We start from the raw sequence: 10,733 nt of genomic DNA on the forward strand, positions 1-10,733 counted from the left end.
GAAACATCTTTGTGATGCGTGCATTCATCTCACAGATTTGAAACTTTTTTTTGATTGCACAGTATGGAAACACTCTTTTTGTAGAATCTTAAAGTGTACATTTGGAGTGCTTTGTGGCCTATTGTAGAAAAGGAAATATCTTCACATAAAATCTAGACAGAAGCAGCCTGAGAAACTTCTTTGTGATGTATGCTTCATCTCAGAGTCAAACCTTCCTTTTGATAGGACAGTTTTGTAAGTCTCTTTTTTTAGAATCTGCAAGTGGACATTTGGAGCACTTTGAGGCCTGTGGTGGGAAAGGAAGTATTTTCACATAAAAGTCAGACAGAAGAATTCTGACAAACTTCTTTGTGATGTGTACATTCATCTCACAGAGTTGAACTTTTCTTTTGATTGAGCAGTTTGGAAACACTCTTTTTGTAGAATCTGCAAGTGGACATATGATGTGCTTTGCAGCCTATGTAGAAAAGGATATATCTTCACATAAAATCTCGAAAGAAACAGTGAAACTTCTCTGTGATGTGTGCATTCATCTCCCAGTGTTAAAAGTTTCTTCTGATTGAGCAGTTCTGAAACTCTCTTTTTGTAGAATCTGCAAGTAGACACTTGGAGCACTTTGAGGCCAATGGTGGAAAAGGAAATATCTTCACATAAAAACTAGATTGAAGCATTCTCAGAAACTTCTTTGTGATGTGAGCAAGGATCTCCCAGAGTTGAATGTTTCTTTTGATGGACCAGTTTTGAAATACTCTTTTTGGAGAATCTGCAAGTGGACATTTCATGCGCCTTCAGGCCAATGGTAGAAAAAGCAATATCTTCTCATAAAAACTTAACAGAAGAATTCTGGGAAACTTCTTTGAGAAGTGTGCGTTCATCATACTGAGTTGAATCTTTCTTTTGATTGAGCAGTTTTGAAACACTCTTTTTGTAGAATCTGCAACTGGATATTTGGAGCACTTTTCGGCCTTTGGTAGAAAAGTAAATAACTTCACATAAAATCTAGACAGAAGCCATCTGAAAAAATTCATTATGATGTGTAGATTCATCTCACATAGTTAAACCTTTGTTTTGATTGAGCAGTTTCGATACTCTCCTTTTGTAGAATCTGGAAGCAGAAATTGAGAAACTTCTATGTGATGTGTGCATTCATCTCACAGAGTTAAACCTTTGCTTTGATTGAGGAGTTTTGAAACTCTCTTTTTGTAGAATCTGCAAGTGGATATTTGGAGCACTTTGAGGCCTATGTTGGAAAAAGAAATATCTTCCCATTAAAACTATACAGAAGCATTCTCAGAAACTTCCTTATGATGTGTGCATTCAGCTCACAGAGTTGAACCTTTCTTTTGATAGAGCAGTTTTGAAACAAACTTTTTGTTTGTTCCACCACAGGTCTATGGTGGAAAAGAATGTATCTTCATATAAAAACTAGACAGAAGCATTCTTTGAAACTTCTTTATGATTTGTGCATTCAACTCACAGAGTTGAACCTTTCTTTTTGTAGAGCAGGTTTGAAACAAACTTTTTGTAGAATCTGCAAGTGGATATTTGGAGCGCTTTGAGCCCTGTGGTAGAAAAGGAAATACCCTCACATAAAAACTAGACTAAACATTCTCAGAAACTTCTTTGTGATGTGTGCATTCAACTCACAGAGTTGAACCTTTCTCTTGATAGAGCAGTTTTGAAACACTCTTTTTGTAGTATCTGAAAGAGGATATTTGGAGGGCTTTGTGGCCCATGTAGGAAAAGGAAATATCTTCACATAAAAACTAGACAGAAGTATTCTGAAAAACTTTTTTGTGATTGGGCATTCAACTCACAGAGTTGAAGTTCTCTTTTGATTGAGCAGATTGGAAACACTCTTTTAGTAGTATCTGCAAATGGATATTTGGAGCGCTTTGAGGCCTATTGCTGAAAAAGAAACATCTTCACATAAAAATCACACAGAAGCATTCTGAGAAACTTCTCCATGATGTGTACATTCATCTTACAGAAATGAAACTTTCTTTTGATTGAGGAGTTTGAAAACAGTCTTTTTGTATTATCTGCAAGTGGATATTTGCAGTGCTTTGAGGCCTTTAGCTGAAAATTATATATATACCCATAAAAACTAGACCAAAGCATTCTCAGAAACTTATTTGTGATCTGTGCATTCATCTCACCGAGTTGAAATTTTTTTTTGATTGAGAAGTTTTGAAATACACTTTTTGTAGAATCTGCAAGTGGATATTTGGAGTACTTCATGGTCTATGGTGTAAAAAAAATATATTCACATAAACACTAGACAGGAGCATTCTCAGAAACTTCTTTGTGATGGGTGCATTCAACTCACAGAGTTGAACCTAACTTTTGATTGTGCAGTATGGAAACAATATTTTTGTAGAATCTGCAAGGGGATATATGGAGCACTTTGGGGCCTATGGTGGAAAATGAAATATGTTCCCAAAAAAATTAGACAGAAGCATTCTCATAAACTTCTTCATGACGTGTACATTCAACTCAGAGTTGAACCTTTCTTTTGACTGAACAGATTTGAAACACTCCTCTTGTAGGGTCTGCAACTGGATATTTGTAGCACTTTGAGGCCTGTGGTGGAAAAGGAAATGTCTTCTCATAAAAATTCGACAGAAGCATTATCAAAAACTTCTTTGTGATGTGTGCATTCAACTAATAGAGTGGAACCTTTCTTCTGATTGAGAAGTTTGCAAACACTCTTTTTGTAGTATCTGCAAATGGATATTTGGAGAGCTTTGAGGCATATAGCTAAAAAAGAAATATCTTCCCATAAAAACTGGACAGAAGCATTCTGAGAAACTTCATTGTGATGTGTGCATTCATCTCACAGATTTGAACCCTTCTTTTGATAAAGCAAGTTTGAAACAGTCTTTTTGTAGAATCTGCAAGTGGATACTTGGAGCGCTTTGAGGCCTACCATTTAAAAGGAAATATCTTCACATAAAAACTGGACAGAAGCGTGCTCAGAAACTACTTGGTGATATGTGCATTCAACTCACAGAGTTGACCCTTTCTTTTGATTGAGCAGTTTTGAAACACTGTTTTTTGTAATCCGCAAGTGGATCTTTGTAGGGATTTGAGGCTTATGGTCGAAAAGGAAATATCTTCACATCAAAACTAGACAGAAGCATTCTGAGAAACTTCTTTGTGGTGTTTGCCTTCGTCTCACAGAGTTGAAACTTTCTTTTGATTAAGCAGTTATGAACACTTTCTTCGTAGAAACTGCATTTGGATATTTGGAGTGCTTTGAGGTCTATGGTGGAAAAGGAAGCATCTTCACATAAATACTAGACAGAAGCATTCTCAGAAACTTCTTTTTGATGTGTGCATTAATCTCACAGAGTCAAACCTTTCTTTTGAAAGCAGTTTCAATGCACTGTTTTTGTAGAATCTGCAAGTGCGTATATGGAGTGCTTTGAGACCTAAGGTGGAAAAGGAACTATCTTCACATAAAAACTAGACAGAAATTTTCTCAGAAACTTCTTTGTGATGAGTGCCTTCAACTCAAACAGTTGATCCTTTCTTTTGATAGAGCAGTTTTGAGAAACTTTTTGTAGAATCTGCAAGCAGATATTCAGAGCGCTTTGATACCTGTGGTGGAAAAGTAATATCTTCACATAAAAAATAGACAGAAGCATTCTCAGAAACTTCTGTGTGATGTGTGCATTCATCTCACAGGGTTGAACGTTTTTGTTTTTTTTTTTGGTAGAGCAGTTTTGCGACACTCCGTTTTAAAATCTGCAATGGATATTTGGAGTGCTTTGAGGTCTTTGGTGGAAAAGGAAATATCTTCAAATAAAAACTAGAAAGAAGCATTCTGAGAATATTCTTTGTGATGTGAGCATTCATCTCAGAGAGTTGAACCTTTCTTTTATTGAGCAGTTTTGAAACACTCTTTTTGCAGATTCTGCAAATGGATATTTGGAGCTTTGTGAGGCCTATGTTGGAAAAGGAAATATCTTCACATAAAAACTAGACAGAAGCATTTTCAGAAACTTCTTTGTGGTGTGTGTATTCAACTCACAGAGTTGAACCTTTTTTTGATAGAGCAGTCTTGAAGCACTCTTTTTGTAGAATCTGCAAGTGAATATTTGGAGCGCTTTGAAGCCTATGGTAGAAAAGGTAATATCTTCACATAAAAACTAGACAGAAGCATTCTCAGAAACTTCCTTGTGATGTGTGCATTGAACTCACAGTGTTCAATATCTCTTTTAAGAGAGCAGTTTTAAAACACTCTTTTTGTAGTTTCTACAAATGGATATTTTGAGTGCCTTGAGGCCTATGGTGGAAAAGGAAATATCTTCCCATGAAAACTAGATGGAATCATTCACTGAAATTTTTTTTGTTATGTGTTCATTTAACTCACAGAGTTGGACTCGTCTTTTGAAAGAGCAGTTCTGAAACACTCTTTTTGTAGAATCCGTAATGTGATATTTGGAGTGCTTTGAGGCCTATGGTGGAAAAGGAAATATCTTCCCACGAAAACTAGACGGAAGCATTCAGTGAAACTTTTTTGTTATGTGTTCATTTAACTCACAGAGTTGGACTTTTCTTTTGAAAGAGCGGTTTTGAAACACTCTTTTTGTAGAATCTGTAACGTGATATTTGGAGTGCTTTGAGGCCTATGGTGGAAAAGGAAATATCTTCAAATAAAAACTAGACAGAAGCATTCTGAGAAACTTCTTTGTGATGTGTGCATTCAACTGACAGAATTGAACCTTTCTTTTGGTTGAGCATTTTGGAAACAATATTTTTGTAGTATCTGCAAAGGGATATTTGGAGCACTTTGAAGCCTATAGCTGAAAAAGAAATATCTTCACATAAAAACTAAACAGAAGAATTATCAGAAACTTCTTTGTAATGTGTGCATTCAACTCACAGAGTTGATCCTTTCTTTTGACTGAGCAGTTTTGAAACACTCTTTTTGTAGAGTATGCAAGGAGATATTTGGAGCACCTTGAGGCCTATGGTGGAAAAGGAAATATTTTCACATAAAAACTGGACAGAAACATTCTCAGAAATTTCTTTGTGATGTGTGGATTCAACTCACAGAATTGAACATTTCTTTTGATTGAGCAGTTTTGAAACACTCTTTTTCTAGAATCTGCAAGTGGATATTTAGAGCGCTTTGTTGCCTATGGTGGAATTGTAAATATCTTCAAATAAAAGCTAGACAGAAGCATTCTCAGAAACTTCTTTATGATGTGTGCATTCAACTCACACAGTTGAAGTTTTCTTTTGATAGGGTAACTTTGAAACACTCTTTTCGTAGGATCTGCAAGTGGATATTTGGAGCGCTTTGAGACCTATGGTGGAAAAGGAAATATCTTCATATAAAAACTAGACAGAAGCATTGTCATAAACTTCTTTGTGATATGTCCATTCAACAAACAGAGATGAACATTTCTTTTGATAGAGCAGTTTTGAAACACTCTTTTTGTAGGATCTGTAAGTGGATATTTTTAGCGCTTTGAGGCCTAAGGTGGAAAAGGAAATATCTTCCAATAAAAACTGGACAGAAGCATTCTCAGAAACTTCTTTGTGATGTTTGTATTCACCTCACAGAGTTGAAGCTTTCTTTTGATTGAGCAGTTTGGAAACACTCTTTTTGTAGTATCTACAAATGCATATTTCGAGTGCTTTGAGGTCTACAGCTGAAAAGGAAATATCTTCACATAAAAACTACACAGAAGCATTCTGAGAAACTTCTTTGTGAAGTCTGCATTCATCTCACAGAGATAAAACTTTCTTTTGGTTGAGCAGTTTTGAAACACTTTTTTCGTAGAATCTGCAAGTGGATATTTGGAGCACTTTGAGGCCTATGGTGGAAAAGGAAATATTCTCACATAAAAACTAGACAGAAGCATTCTCAGAAAGTCCTTTTTGATGTGTGCATTCAACTCACAGAGTCGAACCTTTCTTTTGATAGAGCAGTTTCAATACACTGTTTTTGTAGAATCTACAAGTACATATTTGGAGCACTTTGAGACCTAAGGTGGAAAAGGAACTATCTTCACATAAAAACTCGACAGAAGTTTTCTCAGAAACTTCTTTGTGATGAGTGCACTCAACTCAAAACAGTTGAACCTTTCTTTTGATAGAGCAGTTTTGAGAAACTTTTTGTAGAATCTGCAAGCAGATATTCAGAGGGCTTTAATGTCTATAGAGGAAAAGGTAATATCTTCACATAAAATATAGACAGAAGCATTCTCAGAAACTTATGTGTGATTTGTGCATTCAACTCACAGAGTTGAAAGTTTCTTTTGATAGAGCAGTTTTGAGACACTCTTTTTTAAAATCTGCAAGTGGATATTTGGAGCGCTTTGAGGTCTTTGGTGGAACAGGAAATATCTTCACATAAAAACTAGAAAGAAGCATTCTGAGAAAATTATTTGTGATGTGAGCATTCATCTCACAGAGTTGAACCGTTCTTTTATTGAGCAGTTTTGAAACACTCTTTCCATAGATTCTTCAAGTGGATATGCGGAGCACTTTGAGGCCTATGGTGGAAAAGGAAATATCTTCACAGAAAAACTAGACAGAAGCATTCTCAGAAACTTCTTTGTGGCGTGTGAATTCAACTCACAGAATTGAACGTTTCTTTTGATAGAGCAGTCTTGAAACACTTTTTTTGTGGAATCTGCAAGTGAATATTTGGAGCGCTTTGAGGCCTATGGTGGGAAAGGAAATATCTTCACATAAAAACTAGACAGAAGCATTTTCAGAAACTTCCTTGTGATGTTTACATTCAACTCACAGTGTTGAAAATTTCTTTTGAGAGAGCAGTTTTGAAACACTCTTTTTGTAGAATCTGCAAATGGATATTTGGAGTGCTTTGAGGCCTATGGTGGAAAAAGAAATATCTTCCCACAAAAACTAGACCGAAGCAATTCACTGAAACTTTTTTGCTATGTGTGCATTTAACTCACAGAGTTGGACTTTTCTTTTGAAAGAGCAGTTTTGAAACACTCTTTTTGTAGAGTCTGCAAGTTGATATTTGGAGCACTTTGAGACATCAGGTAGAAAAGGAAATATCTTCAAATAAAACCTAGACAGAAGCATTCTCAGAAACTACTTTATGATGTGTGCATTCAACACACAGAGTTGAAGTTTTCTTTTGATAGAGCAGCTTTAAAACAGTATTTTTGTAGAATCTGCAAGTGGATATTTGGAGGACTTTGAGGCCTATGGTGGGAAAGGAAATATCTTCACATAAAAACTAGACAGATGCATTCTGAGAAACTTCTTTGTGCTTTGTCCATTCAACAAACAGAGTTGAATATTCCTTTTGATAGAGCAGTTTTGAAAAACTCTTTTTGTAGAATCTGTAAGTGCATATTTTTAGCACTTTGAGGCCTAAGGTGGAAAAGGAAATATCTTCCCATAAAAACTAGACAGAAACATTCTCAGAAACTTCTTTGTGCTGTGTGTATTCAACTCACAGAGTTGAACCTTTCTTTTGATTGAGCAGTTTGGAAACACTCTTTTTGTATTATCTACAAATGCATATTTGGAGCACTTAGAGGCCTACAGCTGAAAAGGAAATATCTTCACATAAAAACTACACAGAAGCATTCTGAGAAACTTCTTTGTGAAGTGTGCAATTATCTCACAGACTTGAACCTTTCTTTTGATTGAGCAGTTTTGAAACACTCTTTTTGTAGAACCTGCAAGTAGACATTTGGAGCGCTTTGAAGCCTATGGTGGAAAAGGAAATATGTTCACATGAAAACTAGACAGAAGCCGTCTCAGAAACTTCTATGTGATTTGTGCATTCAACTCACAGAGATGAACCTTTCTTTTGATAGAGTAGTTTTTAAACACTCTATTTGTAGGATCTGCAAATGAATATTTGGAGTGCTTTGAGGCCAATAGCTGAAAAGGGAATATCTTCACATAAAAACTAAACAGAAGCATAATCACAAACAACTTTGTGATATGTGCATTCAACTCACAGAGTTGAAATTTTCTTTGGTTGAGCTGTTTGAAAACACTCTTTTTGTAGTATCTGCAAATGCATATTTCCAGCGTTTTGAGGCCAATACCTGAAGACAAAATATCTTCACATAAAAACTATTGAGAAGCATTCTGAAAAACTTATTTGTAATGTGTGCATTCATCTCACACAGTCGAACATTTCTTTTGATTGAGCAGCTTTGAAACACTCTTTTTGTAGAATCTGCAAGTGGATATTTGTAGCGCTTTGAGGCCTATGGTGGAAAAGGAAATATCTTCACATAAAAACCAGACGGAAGCTTTCTCAGAGGCATCTTTGTGATGTGTGCATTCAACTCACAGAATTGAACCTTTCATTTGATTGAGCAGTTTGGAAACAATCTTTTTGTAGAATCTGCAAGTGGATATTTTGAGCCCTTTGAGGCCTATGGTGGAAAAGGAAATATCTTCACATAAAAACTAGATGGAAGCTTTCTCAGAAGCATCTTTGTGATGTGTGCATTCAACTCACAGAGTTGAACCTTTCTTTTGATGGAGCAGTTTGAAAACAATCTTTTTGTGGAATCTGCAAGTGGATATTTTGAGCTCTTTGAGGCCTATAGTTGAAAAAGAAATATCTTCACATAAAAACCAGACAGAAACACTCTGAGAAACTTCTTTGTGATATGTGCATTCATCTCACAGAGTTGAACCTTTCTATTGATTTAGCAGTTTTGAAACACTCTTTTTGTAGAATCTGCAATTGGATTTGTATGGCGCTTTGACACCTATGGTACCCAAAAAATTATCTTACCACAAAAACTCGACAGAAGCATTCTCAGAACCTTCTTTGTGATGTGTGCATTCAACCCACAGAGTTTATCCATTCTTTTGATTGAGCAGTTTTGAAACAATCTTTTTGTAGAATCAGCAGTTGGATATTTGGAGTGCTTTGAGGCCTATGGTGGAAAAGGAAATATCTTCATATAAAAACTAAACAGAAGCATTCTGAGATACACCTTGTGATGTGTACTTTTATCTCACAGAGTTGAACCTTTCTTTTGATTCAGCAGTTTGGAACCACTCTTTCTGTAGTATCTGCAAATGGATATTTGGAGTGCTTTGAGGCCCCAGATGAAATCTAGAAATACACTATCTGTGAATTTGCTTTGTGATGTGTGGATTCATCTTACAGAGTTAAACATTTCTTTTTTTCAGCTGGTTGGAAACACCTTTTTGTAGAATCTGCAAAGGGACATTTGGGATCCCATTGAGGCATTTGGTGAAAAAACAAAAATCCCCGGATAAAAACTATAAATAAGCTATCTGTGAAACTGCCATGTGATGTGTACATTCACCTCACAGAGTTAAACATTTCATTCGATTCAGGAAGTTGGAAATATTTCTTTTGTAAGATCTAGGAAAGGACATTTGTGAGCCCATTGAGGCCTATGTAAAACATTGAATATTAGCAAAGTAACACAAGAAAGTAGCTATTTGTAAAACTGATTTGGGATGTATGGATTTATCTTTCAGAGTTAAGCCTTTCTTTTGATTCAGCAGGTTGGAAACAGTATGTTCGTAGAATCTGTGAAGGGACATTTGGGGGCCTATTGAGCCCTATGGTGAAAAACAGAATATCTTAAGATAAAAACTAGAAAGAACAATCTGTGAAGCCGCTTTGGGTTTTGTGGATTCATATCATTGAGTTAAACTTTTCTTTTGATTCAACATGTTGGAAACACTGTTTTTGTAGTATTTGTGAAGGGATCTTTGGTAGCCCATTGAGGCCTATAGTGAAAAAGAAAATATACCCAGATAAAAACTAGAAAGAAGTTATCTGTTAAACTGCTTTTTGATGTGTGTATTCATCTCACAGAGTTACACCTTTCATTTGAGACAGCGGGTTGGTAACATTCTTTTTGTAGAATCTGAGAAGGAAAATTTGGGAGCCATTGTGGCCTAGGATGAAAACAGAATATCCTCAGAAAAAACTAGAATGAAGTTATCTTTGAACCTGTTTTATAATGTGTGGCTTTATTTCAGAGAGTTAAATATTTCTTTTGATTCAGCAGTTTGAAACACTATTTTTGTAAAACCTGTGAAAGGACATTTGGAAGCCCTCTGAAGACTATTGTGAAAAACCAAATATCCTTAGATAAACACTAAAAAAAAAGGCATCTGTGAAACTGCACTGTAATGCGTGGATTTATGTCACAGTGTAAAAATTTCTTTTGATTCAGCAGGTTAGAAACACTTTTTTTTGTAGAATCTGTGAAGAAACCTTTGGGAGGCAATAGAGACATATGGTGAAAAACTGAACATCCCCAGATAAATACTAGGAATAAGCTGTCTATGAAACTGCTTTGTCATGTATGGATTCACCTCACAGTGTTAAACCTTTCATTTTATTCAGCAGTTTGGAAGCACTCTTTTTGTAGAATCTGCAAAGGAATGTTTGGGAGACCATTGAGGTCTATGGTGAAAAACAGAATATACCCAGATAAACACTAGAAAGAAGCTATCTGGGAAACTGCTTTGTGATGTGTGGATTTATCTCACAGAGGTAAATCTTTCTTTTCATTCAGCATATTGGAAACACTCTTTTTGTAAAATCTGCGAAAATACATTTCAAAGCCTATTTAGGCCTATGGTGAAAAACAATATATCCCCAGATAAACACTAGAAAAAAGATCTCTGTGAAACTGCATTGTGATATGTGGATTCATCTCACAGAGTCAAACTTTTCTTTTGATTCATCAGGTTGAGAATACTCTCTTGTGGAA

The 10,733-nt window shown here is 35.7% G+C and overlaps 1 annotated feature.

The window, feature by feature from the left end:
• Window positions 8,168–8,669: an enhancer, noted in NCBI's record as "NANOG hESC enhancer chr8:46907318-46907819 (GRCh37/hg19 assembly coordinates)". NCBI's record gives its function as "activates a minimal SCP1, AML or CMV promoter by ChIP-STARR-seq in primed H9 embryonic stem cells {active_cell/tissue: H9 hESC(primed)}" and the evidence as "EXISTENCE:reporter gene assay evidence [ECO:0000049][PMID:30033119]".

Source organism: Homo sapiens, chromosome 8, assembly GCF_000001405.40.
Source record: "Homo sapiens chromosome 8, GRCh38.p14 Primary Assembly".
In the NCBI taxonomy this organism is placed as follows: Eukaryota; Metazoa; Chordata; class Mammalia; order Primates; family Hominidae; genus Homo; species Homo sapiens.